This window comes from Homo sapiens, chromosome 9, assembly GCF_000001405.40.
Source record: "Homo sapiens chromosome 9, GRCh38.p14 Primary Assembly".
Lineage (NCBI taxonomy): Eukaryota > Metazoa > Chordata > Mammalia > Primates > Hominidae > Homo > Homo sapiens.
In genome coordinates this window covers 89,155,594-89,180,851 of record NC_000009.12, presented here as the reverse complement: position 1 = coordinate 89,180,851, position 25,258 = coordinate 89,155,594, and the positions used below count along the sequence as shown (strand labels likewise).

The 25,258-nt window shown below is 44.4% G+C and overlaps 1 protein-coding gene across 1 annotated transcript in view, besides 2 other annotated features; it reads left to right on the top strand.

The window, feature by feature from the left end:
- The first annotated feature begins 2,033 nt into the window (after positions 1–2,033).
- Positions 2,034–25,258, top strand: part of SHC3 (SHC adaptor protein 3) — a 173,048-nt gene continuing 149,823 nt past the window's right edge. Inside the window, exon 1 of the mRNA NM_016848.6 lies at positions 2,034–2,865. Coding sequence (NP_058544.3) covers positions 2,392–2,865 — 474 coding nt within the window. The 5' untranslated portion in view covers positions 2,034–2,391. The remainder of the gene's footprint in view (positions 2,866–25,258) is intronic.
- Positions 7,172–7,672: an enhancer, noted in NCBI's record as "H3K4me1 hESC enhancer chr9:91788095-91788595 (GRCh37/hg19 assembly coordinates)". NCBI's record gives its function as "activates a minimal SCP1, AML or CMV promoter by ChIP-STARR-seq in naive H9 embryonic stem cells {active_cell/tissue: H9 hESC(naive)}" and the evidence as "EXISTENCE:reporter gene assay evidence [ECO:0000049][PMID:30033119]".
- Positions 7,673–8,173: an enhancer, noted in NCBI's record as "H3K4me1 hESC enhancer chr9:91787594-91788094 (GRCh37/hg19 assembly coordinates)". NCBI's record gives its function as "activates a minimal SCP1, AML or CMV promoter by ChIP-STARR-seq in naive H9 embryonic stem cells {active_cell/tissue: H9 hESC(naive)}" and the evidence as "EXISTENCE:reporter gene assay evidence [ECO:0000049][PMID:30033119]".

Genomic DNA, 25,258 nt, shown 5'->3' with positions numbered 1-25,258 from the left:
AAAAAAGAATCAAGGGCTAGGAACCTAGGTTTTGAACGTGCATTCAATGTACATTCATAATAAAAGCTGAACGACTGGCACATTCATGGTTGCTCCTTGATGTAAATGAACGGCTGAATGAAAGTTTAGGGGCACAGCTCACCTCCAAGAGAGACCCTCTTCACACTTAGACCTGACCAAGGGATCTTGAATTCCCTTGTAAAACTAGCTTTTCCTCTCCATAGCAGCTGGCCTCTTCCTCCCGGTATCTTTGTAATCCGGCTGGGTGTTTTTTTTTCTTTTTCTTTTTTTTTTTCCCACACTGCCGTTGGATAAAAGATCCCGCCTTTGATTGAAATGGAATCTTCCACTATTGAGCAAGCCTTTGTTGAATGAGTCATCGGGGCGGCCGCTCATTGGCTGAGGCCGCTGGAGCCCAGGGGATTGCCTGGCACCGGCTGCAAGGCCCTGCTTCATTCACAGAAACGCTGGCTCGCTCGCTAGCCTTTTCATTCACACAAACAGCATTTCATTCACATTTTGCGGTTTTTGTCTGCATCTAATGAAGATCTCGCTTTGGGAATGATAGGGCTGTTTCGCTACAGATCTGGGGAGGACTCTGATAACCATCAAAATCATCTATGGGGTGTGCAATTGCTGTTGCTATGCAAGCTAGGGAAAGGGAACAAATGAGTGCCGTGTAGCTGTTCTGCTAGGGCTGCGGCACAGGAGGCGAGCCGTGGGGACGCGTTTCCTGTACCGGGGACGCCGCGGCTCCTCTGCGCTCTTGCGTCCTAGGGGTTGGCCTCACCCGCTCGCCCGCCATGAGTGGCGCTCATTAAACTCTGCTCCATAGAGCAGGGTTCAAGACTCAGGACCTCACGTGCCCCACATGTTCGGTCATGGGAGTGAGAGGACTCAGGGTGACCTGAGAGTGTGCTAGAGCTGAATTTATTCGCTTGCTCAGAAGTTGCGGGAAAACTTTGATAGTGAGTGTTTCACTGTGGAGCAGGTGATCCTAATGCATGAGGAAGCCTGGCAGAGCCCACTGAGGTCAAGAGTCAGAGGGCTTCAGTCTCGGGCAGACCTCTGGGGACAGCGAAAGCCTTGCTCTCCTAACTGAGAGGAAGAAGGCCTGTGCATTTTACTTGCAAGCCCGAGCCTGACTCCTGAAAAGAAGGCATATTTTCCTCCTTGTGGATTTGATGTGCAATAAGAACAGCTGCATTTTTTCCTTCCTGACTGCAGGGTTGCAAGCAGCAACTGAAGGAACATTGAAATGTATTTGTAGCATTTCTTAGGCGTTTTTCCAGAGCTTAAACACATTCAGTAGGATTAAAGCTTCAAATGCAGCCCCTTTTTTGGAATGGATTTCTGGAGCCTGTTGCCACTCGTGAAAGAAGCACTCTTCTTTTTTGGAAGTGGATATTCAACTTAACCCTGGCTGAGAAAGACTGCTGTAAATGAGCAGGGAAGACCCCTTGATTGGCACTGTGCAGAAGTTCATATGCAGATTTTTTTTTTTTTTTTTTTTTGAGGAACTGCATTGCCACAAAGACACTTGTCATCGCTGCTCTGTTAATTTGAAAAGAAAAAGCAAAACCCAGGAAATTGGTATTTTACAGTCACCTGGGGGTGAATATCCTTTTTGTTTTTTTCTATTTAAAAATTCCTGCTGCCTTCCAAGTCAAGATTCATCAGGATTCGCTGAAGATCTGATTCTTAAAAAGCCTTCGTCACATTTTAACGCATCGCTGTTAGACACTTTTACAGGCTCACACAGATGGGCTGAGCAGGGACGAGCAAAACCTAACAGAATAATGGGTTTCAGAAAGTTCATTTGACGATTTGAAGGAACTGGATTGGATTTACCTTTGGCACAAATGCAGATTGCGGGGGATGGGAAGGTGAAAAATCAAAGGTTGGAAGGAAATATCTGGGAAGGTAGAAAAAGGAAATTTGAGAATTGATTGGCTATAGTGTGCTGTCAGCGGGTGGATGTCGTTTTTTTCTTCTTTTTTTCCTTTTTTTTCTTCTGCTACAGGAAGTGATTTGCAGTGCTCACCGAGCCTTTGTTGAGAAGGGTCTCCTCTCAGAGTGAGTCATGCTTTTGCTGTGAGCAGCCCCAAGCAGCTGGGCGCTCCATCAGAGGCAACTATGACTTTTGCAAAGCAAACGTGCAACCCCAAGCAGCGGTCTCCCGGGCCGGGGCTGCGCGGCCGCCGCTGTGCTGGCTTTTAACGGTGGGAGGGCACCATCCTCTTGCTCTGCTCTCGTTCTCCAGAAGGCTGTCCCGGGGCCCCCACTCTCCGTCCCGCTCCGGGGACAGTGGCTCGCCTGCTATGCGCGGCAGCCCGCGCCGGGGCCGGCACCAGCAGCGCCCGGGCGGATGCAGCGAGCCCACGGAGGGGCATGCTTCCACGCACCAAGTATAACCGCTTCAGGAATGACTCGGTGACATCGGTCGATGACCTTCTCCACAGCCTGTCGGTGAGCGGCGGCGGAGGCAAGGTTTCGGCGGCGCGCGCGACCCCGGCGGCGGCTCCCTACTTGGTGTCCGGCGAGGCGCTGCGCAAGGCGCCCGACGATGGGCCCGGCAGCCTGGGCCACCTGCTCCACAAGGTGTCCCACCTGAAACTCTCCAGCTCGGGCCTCCGCGGCCTGTCGTCGGCCGCCCGGGAGCGGGCGGGCGCGCGGCTCTCGGGCAGCTGCAGCGCGCCCAGCCTGGCCGCCCCGGACGGCAGTGCGCCCTCGGCGCCCCGCGCCCCGGCCATGAGCGCCGCCAGGAAGGGCCGGCCCGGCGACGAGCCGCTGCCCAGGCCCCCTCGGGGGGCGCCGCACGCCAGCGACCAGGTGCTGGGGCCCGGAGTCACCTACGTGGTCAAGGTGGGTGCGGGCGCGGGCCGCCCTGGGGGCTGGGGGTTCTGGGGCCAGTTCGGGGCAGACTCCTTCATTCCCTGAAGCCCGGGGTGCGGGGCGCTCCCGCGACTGTCACGTTAGAGGCAAGCAAATGCGCACTCCTTAGCAATCAGCTCGCTTGACAGCGGTGAGGAGGGAACTACAAATGCGCTTTTCCCGCATCCATTGGGAAAAGGTTTACCACTCGGGTGGCCCGCTCCGTCCCGGTTTTCCCTAGGCTCCACTTTTTTGGCACGCCTTTGCCACCTGGCTTACCAGATGTCTGACCAGTGTCATGGGCGCCCAACCCTGGGCAGCGGGGGTCCGGCCTGCCTAGTATCTAGGAAACGCGCTGGGGAGAGCTGGGCAGCCCCCGGGAGGAGAGATGCACGGAGTGGCGGCCCTACTCCTGCTGTGTCTTCCCCGGCGGGAGGGTGGGTATCTTGTTGCCCCCCGCAGCAAGAATTCCCAGCTCCTTGCAGAGCAGGCCAAATGCTGTGCTGCTTTCTCTTCGACGGGCTTTACTTTCTCACCCAGTCCAGGTTTTCTTGGGGTTTGTCTTTCATTCCCTAAGGAAAGGTTCTGGTTTACAGCAGCGGAATGAGAATTCTGGGACTATTTTTCTGGTGACTGTAGTCTTCCATTTAAATGTGCTAAAAGGGAACTAGGGCGCTGCGCTTGGAGCCACAGGCTGGAAAGGAGTTTTTTCCTCCAACACAAAGATGATAAAATCACGATGTAGTCAATAAAATTCCACCCTTATGCAAGCATGTTATGATATTTAAGGAAAAATGCTCAGCACAGTTCAAGTAATCTGCCACGCGGTTATTTCCTTCTGCCGGTTGGGCAGCTCAGAGCTTTAACAGCCTCCACAGCCGAGCAGACAGGGGTTAAGGATGGAAGTTGCAGTATTTCAATCCTGCCACTCCAAGGCATGGCTTTGTATTGAGAAAGAAATGAGACACAAACTCTATCCCCACCGTGTCCTCAATAACACTGAGAAACCCCCAGGATGTCTGTTCCGTAAATATTGGCTGCAGATTCCAGTGTAAAAATTAAATAGAACACATCCTCAGGTAAAATGCAGTGTCTGGTAATTTCGGAACCAAAATATTAACAGAAATACTTAACTTTGTGGATTGCCTTTAACTATATAAAAAGTACTTACAGATGAATGTGGCCATTGTTGTTAAAAGAGGGCTTCTTCACCTTTTCAGTCTGCTTTTTAATTTAACCTTCAAACTATGGATTATTATATTTTACCAAAGGGGTATAGATGAGCATAATATATGCATATTTGGTTGAGTTTATTTTAAGAGGTACTGAATATTCTTCTTGTTTTGCTTATTTAAATTATATAACCAGGGGCCAAAACAAAAAGAAAAAAACAAACCAAACCAAAAATCCCTGACAGCTTTGAGGTTGTGTTTACTTCTGGGGTGTTAGCATAATTGCTGTTTTAAAAAGCCTACATTTCAAATAGACAAATAGACCTTGGCAAAGCTTTTTCTACCTGTCATATTAAACAGAGTAGTTTTCAAATTGAGGGAGAATTCTCAAACTTATGGCTTTAAATTTTTGTTTTAATCACTTTGCTTAGAACTTTGCTTTTGCTTTTTAAAGAAGGAAGGCCAGCATCAAGTTTGAAAGGTCAAATGTGGCAAAATAATGATGAATGTACGAAAATAAGACGGCTCTGCGTCGACAATCTGTTGCTGTAAGGTTTGTGACTTACTGGCAGCATCAGCAGTAGTATTCATAGTCAAAGGGCTGGATCTGCACAGAGCTTGTCTGTGTCTTGGGGTTACTTTGTGTTGCCTCAAATTTAAGGGGTTGCAGTGATGGGTTGAGGGGTGCATGGCATGACTAATTAGGGCTCTGTACCATCCATGTTTTGGTTCCTTGTTCATTAGCAGCCATGAATGGTGCTGTGATGTGAACATAAACGCAGGCATTGTCCTCTGCTGTCCTGGAGAAGTTTGAAATCACGCAGAAAGAAAACCAGATGCTAAAGTGTGTGTGCATGTTTGATTCAAATTATCACATGGCCCTCTGTTGGCGCACATGTGCAAATTCCCGCATTGCCCATGTTGAGTTTAAAACCTCGAACTTATTTTATTGAAAAATTGTTAAACTGAAAACAATCTTAATTTGGCGTTATTTAGAATTTTTGAATAGTTCTACCGGTATCCTTACTTTAAAAGATTTCTGGTAGATAGAAATGGGCCATCTTTATCATATGACTAGATACCAATAGTAAAATATAAAGGTTTAGGGTTTGGGAAAGGATGCATTATTCTCTTTGATATAATTTTTTTCTAAATTAAAAATAAAGCCCCCAAATGTTTTCTAGTTTCCTGGAAAATTTATATACTGTATTATAGATTTTCCCCCTCAAAGAAATACCTACTTACAGGTGATATTAGGATATTGCACATATGAATTATAATTCAAAAATATTTCAACTTAATCTGAGAACAGGGACTGTAAAATACAGAAGTCTGGTGAATTTTGATCATCTAGGAAACATTAAACTATTTGAGCAACAGCTTAGAATGTGAATTAATGAAGGACTTAAAATTTAAACATGGAAGAAGTTCCTGAGCAACAGTAGAATTCAAAGCTCAAAGCATGTCTAATTGGTCCATCATTGAGTTTGCTGCTAAATAACAGAATGGGGCTATGCACACAGAAAGGCTGCAGCTTACTCTGCCTAGAGGTTTATATTCTTTTCAGCTGGGCCTCATTGGCAGCACCTTTTTACTCCCCTAAGTATCTTGACATTTCCTTTTTTCTTTTGGTGACGTAAAAGAAAGAACAAGGAACTATGCTCTTGATAGAAAAGAAAAATCCAACAGCAAAGAACAATGACTATTTTCATTAAATTTCCATTTTAAAAGTATTTGATATTTGGACCTAAAAGAAATACCAATGAGTATTGATTACGGTGCTGCCCACCTTTAAATTATCTTATCCTAAAGTCAAGCCTGGGTAGGACCCCAATCACTCAAGGAGGCTGCTGGTCTTTAGCAGGTTCAAAAGGCAATATCCTGGTCCTCCACCTTCTCTGTCCTCAGATCCACGGTGGGGAAACTGTAGGAAGGAATATGAACAGTGCAGGGGACAGGAGGCAGGGGTTCAGTTTTTAAAGAGCCAGTGGGCCATCTGAAGACAAGCACAGCCTTGACATTCAGCTCTGAAACTGCCTGCTGGAGGGGCGAGGCTGGAGCAGGAAGCAATGCTGTGTGGGCTGCACCGGGTTTGCCTTTGGCCCCAGCGTGGTCCCCAAAAGACGGGCTCCTTCTTAGAGCACATCACAGCACAGACTTCAAAAGGATAAGAAGTGACCATATTTAGAAATGACCCAAGTGCCAAGGGCAAGAATCAGGAGGCCCAATGTAAAAGCAATGGTTTTAGGTGCCCACTGCTCAGAGCTATTCCAACAGCGTCAGCATTCAGTGAGCCAGCAGATTACGCCATTCATAAACACCTGTGAAGGCTCCAGCGAAGTTACATAGGTTTCAGCTTGTGGAGTGTTGTATATTTACTGACAGTGAAAATGGCGAGCTATTTATAGGAGATTTAACGATCAGAAAAGTACTGCATTATTTCCTGATACACTGGACCCTTCCTGATATGCTTCCCTTTTGGAACAAAGCTCTGTTTTTACAAGGACTCTTTAAAAATTATTTTATTACTCCCATTTGTGCATCTAATGATATTTGGGGTGGTATAAATCATTTGCTTTATTTGTAAATGCTCTACTGCCTTTTATAGGTGGTCTTCGTAAATTACATTTACTCAAAAATTTATTCTTAATTTTTTTCACTTGACAAAGTGTATAAAAATATCTTAAATTTTCATTTTCTCAGAGCTGTATTCTTTTGGTAACTGTGAGCAAAGATCATACAAAAGTTATTTTAACTATATTAAAATAACTATATCAATTCTACTATAATATTGTAGAATTTTATTTTACCTCTAGACTGAAAAATTGATTTTGATGTGGAGTTGAACTTTAAAAAGTTGATTTTTTTCTCAAAATTCTTTCGAAATCTTATGATATGGATGGCTTACACGTAAATATCTAAATGGTTTGAAAAATAGTTTAAGAATTTCTTTTGACATTAATATATAAAGTTATTAATTTGATCTGGATAGTGAGTTGTCTCTTTTTATGTGACACAAACATAGATGTGTTAAAGGCACACACACACCACACACATATACACAAACCACACACACACCTCACATATACACACACATATGCACATACACACCATGCACCCACACACAACCATACAGACACTGCACACACACAACACACACACCCCACAGCCCACAGGTAGATGACTTGTGATGACTTTGGATGGGGGCTGTTTTCTTTCTTGTTAGAAAATAGGAAATGTCATATTTCTAGAAATACCCAATTATCTCAGTCATTTCTTTTATATTCATGTTTAAGAAAAAGATAAGCTACGACAAAACTTCCATCCTATAAAGAACAGATGGCTGCTTCTCTGCCTCCGCACGGTGTCTTACCTTTGAGTATATGTCATAGTTTTGAGGAATATATGATTACTATCATTAAAGCAGAGTCCTGGGAACAGAAAGCCTGGGCAGCAAACACGTGAACCCACTTGCAAGACTGGCTTTCCAGCCAACAGGCTGGCCCTGCAGGATGTGCCGGTGCTGCTGGCCTGCAGTGCCTGGCTTAGGGTAGGGGACATTAGAGCAGACACCTGGCCTGGTGAAGGTCCTGGACTGGTGAAAGGCAGGACACCTGGGCTGCAGCTCCACCGCCAGCTTAGTGTGGGGCTAGAGCAGTCAGCTCACCTCTCTGGACCTGGCTGTCCCTGGCTGCAGCAAGTTGAAGGCAGGGTTGTGCTGGGGTTGGTCTCTATGGGTTGGAGGCCTGGCCGAGGCAGAAATGGTGGCATCTGTATTGTTTTTTGCACCAGCATCTAATGTAATTGGAAGAGACGGGCCCAGGGAAGCACACTGCAGTATCAGGAGTGTGCTCACCTGATGGACACCTGCTGGATCACTGGGGCCAGGGCCAGACCCTGCAGTACAAGGATCCAAGTCCATGGTGGGGCTCAGAGGAAAGCAACAAGGAAGAGCCAGCATGTTCAATGAAAATACCCAAGGGCAGTAGAGTTAGTGAATTATTTAATTCATAAATAAAATGGTTTCAGATGCAATGGAAAGAAATGACCAGTTATGTGTGTTTCCTGGGTAAAGGACAAGAAAACAATTTTGCAATTTATCATAAGAGTTCTATAGTATGTGGTGGAAAAATAATATCTTTAAGGTGGGAGGCAGTGAGCATAGGAACAGCCTACTGAGTGGGTGGATGTTGACCATCGTGTGTGTGTGTGTCTGTGTGTGTGTGTGTCTGTGTGTGTGTGTCTGTGTGTGTCTGTGTCTTCGTGTGTGTGTGTGTCTGTGTCTGTGTGTGTGTGATGGGGTGTGGGGATGTGCAGCTGCACAATATGCCTTACAAGTTGGTTTTGGTCTTACAAGTTCATAATTACTCATTTTCTGTTGAGTTAAAAAACAAAACAAAACATTTTGACCCCACTGTGATTTTGCCTCTCCCCTCCCAACCAAAACAACAACAGTGTGACAAGGATCCACTGAGGGTCCACTGGGAGTAATTAATCCATGTCTCCCAGTGCTAGAATTGGTGAATTTTCCCTGAGTGGCCACGTCAGAGTTGCAGAGCAGTCACGGTTATAAATAAGCAGAGTGGCACCAGTTACACTGGGGTCAGAGGGATTAGGCATCCCTATTTGGACCATTTGAACCCCAGTGAGATACCAGGGGCCAAAGGCCATGTTTCCATGGTTACAGGCCATGCTGATCTTCTTTGTCTTTGTGAGGAGAGTTGGTGAGAAGGTGCCGGATATACCTCAGCCCTCCTGTACCACCTGACATGACTGGAAGAGGCACTGCTCTTCTTGGCTGGCGAGCATCTTCTCAGCTCTGGATGGCACCTCTGGCGGGTTTCTTTTTGAGGCAGGTGGCAGCAGTTTAGTTAGATCCATGGATTCTATGATCTATGGATTCTGGGCTCAGACATGCCTTGCTCTGCACCTCAGCTGGTCTGGCAGATACCACTGCCATCTAGTGAAGATTTGGGTTTCTAGCCATGAGCCCAGGTGCCTGTGAGGATCTGCAGTGAAGCCTAGATGCTGGAAGAAGCTGCAGAAAAGGGAAATCGAGGAGACAGCTTGAGCAGGTGCCTTACCCTGTCCATTGGAGCTTCCAGGTGCCTGATGCCTCAGCAGCTGTCTGGATATCTGAAGCTCCTCAAAACCAAGAAGAAAAATGTTCAAAGAGCTCATTGTTATAATGCTGCTTACTTCAGACTTGAAGCCATCCTTGGATATCATCTGAAATGCATGGTTTCCCCGAAGTGGAGAACCCCTCAAAAGAGGCTTTGCTCACTTTCGTCTATTGAATAGGCAGAAAAAGAAGCAAACAGTCCATTCCAAATTTCAAGAATTTAAACTCGTATGAACCCTTCAAACTCTGGAACTTGGCCTTCACCCAGCCTCACATCAGAAGTGCTCTCTACTCTGAGGTCATTCTGACAAACTTCATTTTATCAAATTCCATTAAATATAATTGTTTGGCAATCTACTGACAATAGTGCTTTTTGCTTTGCAAACATTAAAAATTTCCACTGCCACCTGCCCAAATAGAAACTTTCTGTTTTTTTCAAAAAAAAAAAATCAAAATATGGTTCTAGCTCTGTTGACAAGGAATTTACCCCTAAGGTGGTATTTAGCAGAGGTACTGTATACTCTGGGCCTCTTACAGTTTACCAAAGCAGGAGTCACAGATGGCTTTTATTTCTTAAGATAAAATGATGAAAACCTAGTTGTTTTGAGTGTTCTTTGCCTGGAAGACACAGCCCTTCACAATGACTTATTGTCCCTCCGGAAGATGGACAAAATGTAAGTGAATTATGAGGGGTTTGTGTACAATCATCCCTTGAGATCTGAGGGGGATTGGTTCCAGGAACCCCATGGATACCAAAATTCGAGCATGTTCAAGTCCCTGATATAAACTGGTGCAGTATTTGCAAATAACTTATGCACATCTTCCATACACCGTATACTATAAATGTAATATCTCTAGATTACGAATATCTATTATAATGTAAATGCTACACAAATATTTGTTATACTGCATTGTTCGATTTGTGTTATTTTTAATTTTTGTATTCTTATTTTTATCATGTATTTAAAAAAATATTGTCATGAATTTGGAGGGCCAACTGTATTCCATTATTCCCTAGCATATGCACTTGTTTATTTCTGAGATGGAGTCTTGCTCTGTCGCCCAGACTGGAATCCAGTGGCCTGATCATGGCTCACTGTAGCCTTGACCTCCCAGGCTCAAGCGATCCTCCCTCCTCAGCCTCCCGAATAGCTGGGACACAGGCACACACCACCATGCTTGGCTAATTGTTTTACTTTTTGTAGAGATGGGGCTTCCCTATGCTGCCCAGACTGGTCCTGAACTCCTGGCCTCAAGTGATCTGTCTGCCTCAGCCTCCCAAAGTGTTGGGATTACAGGCATGAGCCACTGTGCCAGGCCGACATATGCATCTTTCTAGGATTAAAGTGAGTAGTGCAGGTGTCTCTTCTGGCCATGGTGGGCCCTCCCTGCTGATTTTGACTGCATGAGCTATGCTTCAGGCTGGCAAAAATACAGGTTGGCCCATGCCAGGCACATTGTTTAGTTCCTGGATGTGCCCCTGTGCTGTACCATGTCGAATCCCAAACAGGAGCCCCTCACCACCCAGGATTTAGCGCATCCCTCCTTGCTGCCTCTCCCTCTTGAGTCTTGGTTTGGACGCCTCGGATCTTCCCAAGGAAAAGGCCTCCACAACCCACTCAGCAGGAAAGGCCCCTAAAAACTGGCAGCAGGAGAAAGAGAGCCTTGAGCCCATTTGTCCTGCCCATCCCTGACCTGGCAGGAGGGGTGAGGGAGCCTAACCCGCCTCACACTGATCTCCACCTCCTCCGCTTGCAGCCCTGCCTGTCTTGCAAGGTCACCTGCCAACCTTGTAACATGCCTTGTAAACCACCCTTTTATGAAATTTAAACATTTATTATGAGGATTTTAAAACATACATCATCATAGGAAACATATAAACACAACAAAATAGAGAGAATGGTAAAATGAGGCCCCAGGGACAAATGGCCCGCCACCCAACTTCAACAGCCATCAGCTCAGTGCCATCTGCACCCCACCCCCGCCTTGCACTATTTAGGAGTGGTTTCCAGACTTTCGGGTTTTGCCTGTTGCTCTTCTGTGGACTTGTGTGGGCCTGCCTTTGCCCTGGTGTGGGTCAAGCAGTGGCCTGGATGTCCAAATTCCTTCTAGACATGAAGGCCCTCCTCACGCAGTGGGAATGAGGGCCTCAAGTTGGCACGTGGTGACTGTCCTTCAGGAATGAACTTACAAATGTGTTAGTGGAGCTCTAGAATTGTGCAGGTCTGGGTGGTGCCTCCGCCTCAGTGCTTGGAGAGCACACCATGTTCTTGACTAATAAGTTGCAGCCTTGGGCTTAACAGTGATACCAAATATGGCCAAGTGGTTCAGGGTCCCGTTATGTGCTCAGACGTCCTGGATTTGACTCTGTGGTCCCTGAGAAGCACTGAGAGCTGTGAGGAGGGGCAGGCCTCCTAGTCCTCAGGTGGGGAGGTGGGAGTCACACCTCTCAACCTCCTCTGCTCAGTGTCCGGCAGGGCCTCTTCCAGCATCAGAGGAGCCTTCTGGAAATGGGTGTTCTCCCAAGTTGTTTTTAATAGTATTAGTCAGGGTTCTTCAGAGAAACAGAACCAAGAGTTGCTTATTAAAAAAGAGATTTATTATAAGGAATTGGCTTGCATAATTTTGGAGGCAGGCAAGTCCCAAGATCTGCAGGGTGGGCCAGACCCAGGAAAGCTTATGGTGTCAGTTCCAGTTCTGATGCTGTCCTGCTTGAGACCCAGGAAAAGCCAATGTTTCAGTCTGATCTGAAGGTGGGAAAAAATAGTGTCCCAGCTTGAAGACAGCCCAACAAGAGGAATTCTCTCCTATCCAGGGGAGGGGTCAGGCTTTTTGTTTTATTCAGGCCCTCAACTGATTGGACAAGGGCCACACAAATTGGGGAAGGCCATCTGTTTATTCAGTTTATTACTGATTCAAATGTTAATTTTATCAAAAAGGAAAAAACTCTCACAGACACACCAGAATAATGTTTAACCAAATATCTGGGCATCTCATGGCTCAGTCAAGTGGACATATACAGTTCACCCCCAAAATATACATAAACTCTAGAAGTATTTTCTAGAGTGGCCACTAGCTGACCTGAACCACTTGTAGGGATTTCTATTTCTTAACAATATGGAAATATGGGATAAGGAATGATCAAATAAACTTGCCTGAAAGAGTCTCAGATGTTATTATTATTCCTGTGGGCATCAAATAGAGAAACTTTTTTTTTTTGAGACAGAGTTTTGCTCTTGTTGCCCAGGCTGGAGTACAATGGTGCAATCTCGGCTCACAGCAACCTCTGCCTCCCGGTTCAAGCAATTCTCCTGCCTCAGCCTCCTGAGTAGCTGGGATTACCGGCATGCATCACCACGCTCAGCTAATTTTGTATTTTTGGTAGAGAAGGGGTTTCTCCATGTTGGTCTGGCTGGTCTCGAACTCCCGACCTCAGGTGATCCACCTGCCTCAGCCTCCCAAAGTGCTGGGATTACAGGCGTGAGCCACCGTGCCCGACCCAAATAGAGAAACATTTTCAAATTCCTCAAATGTTTGTTTAGGGTTTACTATAGATGGATGCTAGAGTAGGGGTCTGAGCTACAAGATGGATAAACTGTGACTCTGCCCACAGGGAGAGCTGTAGGTAGGTCTTTATGGGGCTAAGTGGCAAGGGCCCATGGCTGTGGTTCGCAAGCTGGCTCAGGGTGTGGGGGCCCGGGTGGCCGCCTGCCCCTGGAATCACACCTGATATGGTCCCTCGAGGTGGGGGCAAGCCCAGCAGCAGGGCATGTAGCCACCTTACATTGATGCTTTTGAGTCACAGCCAGAGGCAGAGGCACCCAGGAGGGGAAACACGCTTCTGTATCAAGGTGTTTCACCAGTAAAATGGAAAAGCCATGGGGTTTTTCCCCCTAATTTGCAAACAATAATAGCATAATAATAATTTATAGATGTGATTTTCTCAATTTAAGATTTGCTGTCATGGAAGTTCTAAAAAGTATACTCGTGCATGTTTCTATTTGGGTTTGACCAAATTAAAGAACAAATAGCAAGTAAGTACTCTCAGAAAATGGAACTAGGCAGGGTGATGCCTCTTTTGGGAAGTTGGGCTGAGAACAGAAGGTCACGGTCAGGTGGGTGAGCTGGGAGGGCCTGGGACCTGGCAGGTGCCCCTGATTCCCTCCTGCTTCCCACATGCTGAGAAGCCTCCTTTCATCCTCTGACTTTCCACATCCATATGACTGATGGGATCATGGTACCCCTTGCTTGGTCAGCCCGCCTCTCCCCTTCCTTGGGCTGAGTTCTCCAGGGTCTCCTCTGGTCTCTGGGATAGAGAAACTGCTTTTTAAAGGATTGTTATTTGTAAGAAGGTGATGGCTGCACTATCTAGAGAACTGAGCTGTGACTTTTTTCACTGGAAGTAGCAACTCCTGTAATAGATGAGAACCTCATTTGCAGAATGGCTTATTAACTCAGGTGAGAGGAGAAAATAAGACTCACAAATAACAGCCAGAGGGGAGAATTCTGATGTCCGGGTGTTGACCACAACCCCTGTCACCCTCATTGCCCTCCCTCCCTCCCTCCTGCTGGACCCCCAGGGCAGGGGTGTGCTGGCCAATGGTTAACATCTGGCTCTCAGGACAAAAAAGTCATGATTTGAAGTTTTGCCAGCTTTCGTGCTGTGAAGAGCCACTGCCCTGCTGCCACTGGGAGACGGGAAGAGGAGTGCAGTAGCTCAGCTGGTAGAGTCTACACCACACAGTACAGTGGATTCAACCTCAAGGTGCAGACAACAGCAAAGTGTAATACAGTCATTAGAAGGTGCTGCGTTTTTAGTACTTATTACCTTCGCCTGTCTTATAATTACATATACAGGGAGAGAGACACACTCCTGAGGTCTGTTCCCCGCTAAATCAGCCTTTCCTGCATCCTGCCTCCACTTGAAGCCCTCTCTCTTCCCTTGCGCATCCTTTCCTTCCCACTTCACTTCCTCTCTTCTTATTCACATCAACATGCAGTGATCGGCTTCTCCCAGTCTGTGGATAGTGATCTGGAAAAGGTTCATTGGTGCCCCCTCGTATGAAATCTAAACCCCTTTTCGATTCTTTTGCCGCCTGACCTCCCTCCCCGCAGACCCTGATGCTGTTGGCTCACAGCCTCTCCCTGGAGGACTCCCAGTCTCGGCCTTGAAGCGTTTTCTCCTTTGGTTCTTGTGCAGTCCTCTTGTCTTCCCATTTTTGTTTCTGGATTTTTTCCAGTCTTGCCATCCCCATCCACCCATTCACTAGTGTATTCCTTCATCAATTTTTAAATCAATTGTTTTATTCAACGGGTATCTATTGAACCCCTATTCTGTGCTAGGCCTGTGCTAGGATTGGGGATAGAGTGGTGGATTTTTTGCTTCCTGCTCCTTCAGTGCCAGTTGGGGAGACGGAGGAGAGAAAATACCAGGGGCTGCACTAGTTGTGGTGACATGGAAATCAAGGATGGCTTCTCCCAGATGATACTGAAATGGAGCCCAAATAATGGGTGGGATTATCTGGCATGTGGATGGGACATGTGTGTGTAGGTGTCAGTGCATGAGTGTGTGGGCCCATCTCCAGGAGGCGACAGAAGCAGAGTGCGCCTGCGTGGCTGGAGTGTGTGGAACCAGACGGGGTGTGAGGTCAGACCTACAGCTCACTGGACTTTGGCAAGTATGGTGGGAAGCCACTGGCAATTTTCCAAAAGATTATTCTACCTTCTGTGTGGAGAAACCATCGGAAAAGTAAGAATGAAAGTAGAGGCAATTAGAAGACAATTAGGAGTGATGTTGGAAGCTGAGACAAGCGTCATGGGCTCAAGGCTACTGAAACATCTACCCAGGTCTGTGTCGCTAACTGGTGGTGCAACCTGCCCATCTACCATTTCGGAGGCCTTTTAAGTGTAGCATGTCTCAAAATAAATTCACAATTTTTCCCTCTGGCATCTGTTTCTTGTTCATGTGTCACTGCACTGTTCATCCTCTCCCCAAATCTGAGACCCCCCAAGTCATCACTGAACACTTCCTTTTTCTAAGCCTCTTACATCTGTTGTCACCAACCTCTCATTTCCACCTCTAAAGGGTTTCAAGTTTTTCTTCTTTTCCCTTCCTTTTATTCTGATTCATGCCCTCACCATTTTTTTTTTTTTTTTTGCCTTGATGATTGCAATAAACTACTGATCTTGCCAGAAAATTGCTTTGGGAAATACTTTTCTTATTAAATTAGAGAAAAAAATGATACAGCCTCTCTGAAATGTTTCAAACAATACACAAATGTTTGGGGTGAAAAGTGAAAGTTTCCTCTCAGTTCTCTTCCTGACACTTACTAATTTTATTCTTCTCAGAGATAATCCCCAAAAATGATCTGCTACTTATATTTCCAGGGTGTGTGAAAACACACACACACACACACACACACAAACACGTCTTTTTCTTTTCTTTCTTTCATCTTTTCTTCTTTTCTTTTACACAACACAAAACATTCTACATATATTGATCTGTGACTTGCTTTTCTAACTTTATATGCTTTGGAGATCTTTCAATATTAGTACCTATAATTCTGTCTCTTTTTTTGGCATTCACTTGGCAATCAAATTATGGGTGAACTAAAATTTATTCCAACAGTTCCCTATTGTTAGACAGGTAGACAGTTTCTAATTTCTCGCAAATTATAAAATAGTGAATATTCTTCTATATTCATCTTTCCACTTGGAGAGATATTTTTCACTGTGTGTATACTAAGTTTATTCCTTTCCTTCTCTTATTGCCTTGGCTGGGGTTTTGAGTGCAGTTATCAATTCTATTGGTGAAGGCTACTTTGTTGCTCCTGGCTACAAAGTGAGCTCTTCTGTATTCAAATATCAACAACATTTACTATTATATACATTTTTACAAGTTAAGAAAATTTTCCTATGATCCTAGCTTTTTAGAAATCTGAAATGGTTGCTGAATTATATCAGGTTTTTTTCAGCATCTAGTAAGATAAATATGCATTTTTCACCTTTTTCTGTAAATGTGGTGAATTATTTATCTTTCTAAAATACATGTCTGTCATCTCATCTGCCTAATTAAAAGCTCTCTGCTGCTTGCTTGCCTTGCTTACAGAATTCAATCCAAATTCCTTATTATGAGTGTAAAAACTTTCAGTTTGGCTTCATCTTACTTCTGGAGCCTCATCTCCTGTGCCCCTACCCCCCGATACTCCAACCATATGGAGAAACTTGTTTTCTCCCAAACCAGTTGCACTTTTGGGCTTAGCTCAAACTCTTCCCCTCTGGGCCCCTTCTCTCCTTCTCATCTTGGCCTAAAATAATGCTCTTTGTCCTTCAAGACTCAGCTCACATAAGCAAACAGTTCTGTCCTGCCTCTCCCTTTCAGACAGCTGGTGCCCTCTGCTCAGGGTCTCCAGAGCTCTGTAGCCTTCAAGTCAATCCATATGAAGTGAGACTCTATCAGATGCCCAATGCCGGAGCCCCTGAGAATCCAAGATGAATTGGATGAATGGTCCCACTCTCAGGGAAACCATAATCTAGGTGGGCTTACATGTGTGTGGCATCAGACCATGAATTTTGATATGTGATATGTTATGGACTGAGTGTCTGTGTCCTCCCAGAATTAATCTGTTGAAATCCTAAACCCTAATTCGATGGTGTTAGGAGGTGAGGCCTTTGGGAGGTGATTAGGTCATAGGGGTGGAGCTCTCATGAATGGGATTAGTGCCCTTATAAAAGAGGTCCCAGAGAGCTTGCTTGACCTCTTTCTACCATGTAAGAATGCAGCAAGAAGACAGTCTTCTGCAACCAGTGAGCGAGCCCTCACCAGACACTGAATCTGACAATACTTTGATCTAGGATGTCCAGATTCCAGAATGAAAAATAAATGTGTGTAGTTTAAGCCACCCAGTCTGTGGTATATTTTTTTTCTTTTCTTTTTTTAATTATACTTTAAGTTTTAGGGTACATGTGCACATTGTGCAGGTTAGTTACATATGTATACATGTGCCATGCTGGTGCGCTGCACCCACTAACTCGTCATCTAGCATTAGGTATATCTCCCGATGCTATCCCTCCCCCCTCCCCCCACCCCACAACAGTCCCCAGAGTGTAATATTCCCCTTCCTGTGTCCATGTGATCTCATTGTTCAATTCCCACCTATGAGTGAGAATATGCGGTGTTTGGTTTTTTGTTCTTGCGATAGTTTACTGAGAATGATGATTTCCAATTTCATCCATGTCCCTACAAAGGACATGAACTCATCATTTTTTATGGCTTCATAGTATTCCATGGTGTATATGTGCCACATTTTGTTAATCCAGTCTATCATTGTTGGACATTTGGGTTGGTTCCAAGTCTTTGCTATTGTGAACAATGCCGCAATAAACATACATGTGCATGTGTCTTTATAGCAGCATGATTTATAGTTCTTTGGGTATATACCCAGTAATGGGATGGCTGGGTCAAATGGTATTTCCAGTTCTAGATCCCTGAGGAATCTCCACACTGACTTCCACAATGGTTGAACTAGTTTACAGTCCCACCAACAGTGTAAAAGTGTTCCTATTTCTCCACATCCTCTCCAGCACCTGTTGTTTCCTGACTTTTTAATGATTGCCATTCTAACTGGTGTGAGATGGTATCTCATTGTGGTTTTGATTTGCATTTCTCTGATGGCCAGTGATGATGAGCATTTTTTCATGTGTTTTTTGGCTGCATAAATGTCTTCTTTTGAGAAGTGTCTGTTCATGTCCTTCGCCCACTTTTTGATGGGGTTGTTTGTTTTTTTCTTGTAAATTTGTTTGAGTTCATTGTAGATTCTGGATATTAGCCCTTTGTCAGATGAGTAGCTTGCGAAAATTTTCTCCCATTTTGTAGGTTGCCTGTTCACTCTGATGGTAGTTTCTTTTGCTGTGCAGAAGCTCTTTAGTTTAATTAGATCCCATTTGTCAATTTTGTCTTCTGTTGCCATTGCTTTTGGTGTTTTAGACATGAAGTCCTTGACCATGCCTATGTCCTGAATGGTAATGCCTAGGTTTTCTTCTAGGGTTTTTATGGTTTTAGGTCTAACGTTTAAGTCTTTAATCCATCTTGAATTGATTTTTGTATAAGGCGTAAGGAAGGGATCCAGTTTCAGCTTTCTACATATGGCTAGCCAGTTTTCCCAGCATCATTTGTTAAATAGGGAATCCTTTCCCCATTGCTTGTTTTTCTCAGGTTTGTCAAAGATCAGATAGTTGTAGATATGCGGCATTATTTCTGAGGGCTCTGTTCTGTTCCATTGATCTATATCTCTGTTTTGTCACCAGTACCATGCTGTTTTGGTTACTGTAGCCTTGTAGTATAGTTTGAAGTCAGGTAGTGTGATGCCTCCAGCTTTGTTCTTTTGGCTGAGGATTGACTTGGCGATGCGGGCTCTTTTTTGGTTCCATATGAACTTTAAAGTAGTTTTTTCCAATTCTGTGAAGAAAGTCATTGGTAGCTTGATGGGGATGGCATTGAATCTGTAAATTACCTTGGGCAGTATGGCCATTTTCACGATATTGATTCTTCCTACCTATGAGCATGGAATGTTCTTCCATTTGTTTGTATCCTCTTTTATTTCCTTGAGCAGTGGTTTGTAGTTCTCCTTGAAGAGGTCCTTCACATACCTTGTAAGTTGGATTCCTAGGTATTTTATTCTCTTTGAAGCAATTGTGAATGGGAGTTCACTCATGATTTGGCTCTCTGTTTGTCTGTTGTTGGTGTATAAGAATGCTTGTGATTTTTGTACATTGATTTTGTATCCTGAGACTTTGCTGAAGTTGCTTATCAGCTTAAGGAGATTTTGGGCTGAGACAATGGGGTTTTCTAGATATACAATCATGTCGTCTGCAAACAGGGACAATTTGACTTCCTCTTTTCCTAATTGAATACCCTTTATTTCCTTCTCCTGCCTAATTGCCCTGGCCTGAACTTCCAACACTATGTTGAATAGGAGTGGTGAGAGAGGGCATCCCTGTCTTGTGCCAGTTTTCAAAGGGAATGCTTCCAGTTTTTGCCCATTCAGTATGATATTGGCTGTGGGTTTGTCATAGATAGCTCTTATTATTAGTCTGTGGTATATTTGTTATGGCAGCCTGAGCTGACAAGGACATGATGTAAGGCCATGGATTGTGGGACGGGTGTTCAGCCGATGTATTAGCCCATTCTCGCATTGCTGTGAAGAAATACTCAAGACTGGGTAATTTATAAACAAAAGAGGTTTAACTGGCTCTGCAGGCTGTACAGAAAGCATGATGTTGAGATCTGCTAAGCTTCTGGGGAGACTTCACAGCAGAAGGTGACGTGGGGAGTAGGCACATGGCAGAAGCGGGAGCAAGAGAGAGAGAAGGAGGGCGCCTACACTTTTAAATGACCAGATCTCACGAGAATTCACTTGCTATCGCCAGAACAGCACAGTGGGGATGCATGAAGGGGGTGGTGCTAAACCATTCATGAGAAACCTGCTGCCATGATCGTATGGGGTCCTACGAGGCCCCACCTCCAACATGGGGATTATATTTCAACATGAGATTTGGGTGGGGACCAGATCCAAACTCTATCAGCCAGCCTCTCCCAAAGCTTCCCTAGAGCAGGAGCCCGTGTTAAATACTTCATATGCGACAGACGACAGAGGAATGGGAGCAGCTGCAGGGCACTGGGGGATGTGCCTGATCAACAGCAACTGGTCCAGAAGGTGACCTGGAGCCTATTTGTATACTGCTGGGGATTAAGAACATAATTCCATGGAGGCTTATTTTGAACTCTGTTCTATTAGTAAATTCCTTGGTAATTGTTCCTTCCATGAACTATGTATGCCACAGCCCACCCAAAATCTTTAAAGGCTGTTTGGTAGTTGGAAAGCATTATTAGCAGGCCCTTGAATTCTGTGTTCTCCTGTCCTTTCTCTTGACAGCTAATTACAGAAAGGTTTCCGTAAGAGACTCAACTTTAATGACAGCCATGAGAGATCATTATTAAGATAAAATATTGTATAGCCAAATTTTACCAGCACATTTCCAAACAGAAAGCTAAATAAACTCCTTAACACTTTCACTTGCCCCCACCTCTAATTAAAATTACATGGATTTATGAAAAAGAAAGGGGGAAATGAATGGATCAACAAGTATTTTTTGAAAGCTCAATTACACGTCTTGTTCTGTGGAAGGTATTGCAGGTTGTTAAAGAGGCGCAGGGTGATTGCCTAAAAGGAACTTTTAATTCAGTTGAACGGGGAAAAAAAATCTATGTTCTAAAAAGGTGTTAATTATGTGGTAAGAGATCAGTGGTGGGCTGGGGTTATCAGAAAATGCCTCGCCAAGGAGGTGGGATTTATTCTGGGTCTGGAAGGACTATCCAGATCTGGGTAGGTGGAGGAGTGGAGGGTGTTCACAGCAGGAGAATCAGAGTGAGAAGCTCTTTGGAGGTGGGAGGGTGCACAGTGTTTGCCAAGGGGATGGGGAAGATGTGCCACTGAAGGATGGCTGTAGTCAGGGACACCTGACACTACATATCAGCTGTCATTTGTCTGTAACATGGGCTGTAGCCCCTTAGAGTTGGAATGCACTCAATCAGGGTTAAAATCCTTGGGAAGCAGGGTCTGTGCGAAGTCCTCCCATGGCCGGGATTTCCCTATTAGATGAAGTGACCAGTGTGTTGCTGGCCATTGAGCCTTGCACTCCATGACCTCTGTGACGGTTAATACTGAGTGTTAACTTAATTGGATTGAAGGATGCAAAGTATTGATCCTGGGTGTGTCTGTGAGGATGTTGCCCAAGGAGATGAACATTTGAGTCAGTGGGCTGGGAAAGGCAGACCTTAATCTGGGTGGGCACCATCTAATCAGCTGCCAGCATGGCTAGAATATAAAGCAGGCAGAAAAACTTGAAAAGGCTAGACTGGCTTGGCCTCCAAGCCTACATCTTTCTCCTGTGCTGGATGCTTCCTGCCCACGAATATCCGACTCCAAGTTCTTCAGTTTTGGGACTTGGACTGGCTCTCCTTGCTCCTCAGCTTGCAGGCAGCCTATTGTGGGACCTTGTGATCGTGCGAGTTAATACTTTATAAACTCCCCTTTATATATATGTATCTATTCCATTAGTTCTGTCCCTCTAGAGAACGCTGACTAATACAACCTCCCTTCATCTGGGTGACATTTGCCCTCTCAAGCCCGGCAGAACGGAGCTCCTTCCTTACCAGATGACAGTCCTTGAAGTAGCTAAAGAGGTGTTTTTCCTTAGCCTTCTCTTCTCCAAGCCAAACATTTCTCACTTCCTCAACAGTTGTGATCCCACTGTATCTAGATTCTCTTATTGTTTACATTCTGGTTTGTAAATTAAATTTAAGACACCCTGCTCATAGTAAGGAATGAGGTTGAGTTACTGTGTTGGCCACATTTGGCCTATATTCTATCTGTAGAGTTTTGTCCTATCCTAAGAATAATTTGGTCTTTAGTTCATGTGCCTACATGACTAAGAGATAATTTAATCTTTGTCTAAGATATCACTACTCTTTTTTAAAGAAAAGATGGTAGAGCTTTCTTTATGGCTTATTATGACCTACAAGCAGAATTATTGATGGTTTTCAAAGTCACACATTCTTTTCTCAAAAGGCCTAATACAGACTCATGTCTACCCTGCACACTTCTACCCCCTACTATATGCTATGGTCCACTTGACTACTATGAGTTTCCAACTATCAGCCTCTGTCATCAAAATTCAGGCTTGTAATTGAGAAAGCCGGTGGAATTTTCACTGAGGATTATTTTGCCCACCCAACAAAGCAAATGTCACACTACAGAGTGGTAGGGTAAATTCTGGTACATTTACACTATGGAATAGTACTATGTAGCCATTTCTAAAAGTGAACTAGAGTCCTATTACAGTTGATTTGAAAAGATTTTTACAAGGAATTGTTGAGTGAAAACAGCGTGGTGAAACAAAGCATGTGTATGAACCCATCCTTGTAACAGAAGCAATCACAAGAAAGCATGTATATATCCACAATTATAGTTGGAGACTTCAACAGCCCGCTAGACAGAATAATCTAGTAATTGATACCACTAGCCATTGATGGAACTACTAGACAGAAAATCGCAAGGATGGACAAAAGCTGAACAAAATAATCAACCAACAGGATCTAACGGACATACATAGAGCCTTCCACAAAATCACAGCAGAGTAAACATTCTTTTCAAGTGTTCATGAAACATTCACCAAGATATACCATGTTTTAGGTCATAAAACAAATCTAACCAAATTTAAAAGAATTAAAGTCATACAGAGCATGGTCTCTGATCACAATGAAATTCAATTTAAAATGGAACTAAATTAATAATTGATAATAGAAAAACAATAAGAAAATCTCCAAACTTTGAAATTAAACAACATGGCTGCAAATACTTAATGAGACAAAGGAGAAGCTTCAAAGGAAATACAAAAAATACATAGAATTGAATGAAAATGAAGCCACAACATGTCAAAATATATGGGACATAGCAACAGTGCAAAGAGGAAAATTTATAGCACCAAATGCTTACCTTAGAAAACAGAAAAGTTCTTCAATCAGTAATCCAGCTGTCTACCTCAAGAAACTAAAAAAAAGGGTTAAAGCAAGCAGAAGGAAGGCAATAACAAAGATAAAAGCAGAAATCAATAAAATTAAATATAGGAAATCAATTGAAAAAATCAATGAACGCACAATCAGATTTTTTGAAAAAAATTGATAAAATTGATACACCAGCCTGGGCATGGTGGCTCACACCTATACATATCCTATGCACTTTGGTAGGCGAAGGTGGGAGGGTCACTTGAGGCTCAGAGTTTGAAGCCAGCCTGGGCAACATAGCCAGATCCTATTTCTGCAAAAAAAATTTTTTTTAAATTAGCCTGGCGTGGTGGCAGGATGCCTGTAGTCCCAGGTACTCAGGAGGCTGAGGCAGGAGGAGCACTTGAACTTGGGAGTTGGGGGTTGCAGTGAGCTATGATTGCACCACTGCACTCTATCCTGGGCAACAGAGAGAGATCCTGAATAAAAAAAAAATTGTTAAACTTAGGAAGATTGACAAAAATTAAAAAAACATTTTGGCAATATATTAGTTTCTTGTTGCCAATCTAACAAATGACCACAAATTTAGTGACTTAAAACAACAGAAATTTATCTTACAATTCTGGAGGTCGGAAGTCTGCCCTGAGACTTACAGGACCACAGTCAGGGTATCTGCAGGGCTCATTTGTTCTGGAGGCTTCCGGGGAGAGTCTGCATCTTGTCTCTGGAAGCTTCTAAGGCTTCTAGCTGTGAGAACGCTTTGGCCTGTGGCCACATTAATCTCTGCTTCCATTATCACTTTGTCTTTTTCTCACCTGTGGTCAGATTTTCCTTTGCTTATCTCTTATAACGACCCTGTGGTTATATGTATGGGCCACCCGATAATCCAGAATGATCTTTCTATCTCAGGATGTTACTGAACTGAACTGGGGTCCACTCACCCAGTGCAGTAGGGCCAAATATTTATTGAGGTTTGTAGTGGGAGAAAGGAGGGTGTTAGCGGGAGGGTATTTAAGTGTAACCCTTACTTGTAGGGTGCCAAGTAAGGAGAATTGGGTTGCTTACGCTTGACACCCGACCTCCCAGATGGCTTAAACGTAAGGGTTTATGGAGGCAGGGAGGCATAAGTTATAGGCAAGGTCATAAATCAACACAGGGAGGCTATACATTGGTTTGACTTAAAAAGACAGGACATCTCCAAGCAGAGGCCCACAGGTCATAGGTGGATTCCAGGATTTTCTGATTTGTGATTGATTAAGGAGTCAAAGCTTTGTCTAAGAATGTGTGATCGGCAGAAAAGAAGGTGAGCTCTGGTTCATAGGCATGACCTTCTCCAGGCCCCTCAGGAAGAAATTTAGAACAAAGAATAGCAATCAGAGTTGAGTCCTCAGCCTCTCCTTACCTGAGATCTGTGTGCCAGTGGCTCCATTTGGTGGGGTCTAGGTTTCTGGAAAACAACTCAGGGACATATTTTAAGATGTTGTCTTTGGTTTTTACAGGGAACCAAACATCTTGTGACTTTAGTTTGTTTGGCTATTAAGTTTTTTTTTGTTGTTGTGGTTTATTAAGTTTTTATTTACTTTTTTAGGACTAGTTAAGTGACTGGAAGTTTTTTGAATGCACCGAAGATTAAAAAAATTATGTCTTTGGGGGCCCACAGGCTCCTAAGAGGGGTTCCTGCTCTGTTTTAAGGATCCTTAACTTAATCATATCTATGATGTTTCAGTTCAGTTTCAGTTCAGGGTCTTCCCTGAAGTTATTAGATGTCAACTGGGACTGTAATCGTCCGAAGGTTTGACTGGGGCTGGAGGGTCCACTTCAGGATGGTGAACTCCTATGACTGGCAGGTGGTATCTGGCTATATGCAGGAGGGCTCAGTTCCTTTCCACATGGCCCGCTCCATATTTTTCCCATAGGGATTCTTGAGTGTCCATATGACATTGTGGATGGCTTCCCCCAGAGTATGCAGCAATCAAGGCAGTAATAGATTTTATGACCTAGCCTTGGGAAGCACACACTGTCACCTTCACAGTATTTTATTGGTCACATGGGTCAGCCCCATTCAATGGGGGAGGGCACTCTATAAGGGCACAAATGCCAGGAGGCCTCAGAAACATAAATATTTTTGCTATGGGTATAGATTCATGGGTTTTAGGCTGGAAGAAACCACAAAAATACCCTGGTTGACAGTAAGAATCAGTCCCATTGATGATAAAAGATGGAATTTAAAAGCTTAATAGGGACAATTTTCTTCTGCAAAGAGGTAGATGGGGTGGCATGAATTTCTTGTGTTAGAGACAGTTTTAACAGATGAACCCTCAGGTGCCAAGTCAGTTAACCAGAGCTGGGTTGACAATCAGGGATTTAGGAGGGAAAAACCCAAGGCAAGGAAAGTCCTTGTGAATGTGACCAGGTGGAGAAACAGGTAGATGACGATTTGCCAACTCCATGTTCAGGGGCTGAGCTGAGGCCAGAGTCGGCAGCTGGTATTTCTTCTCCAATGGGCTACTTAGGGTGGCTTTTTGG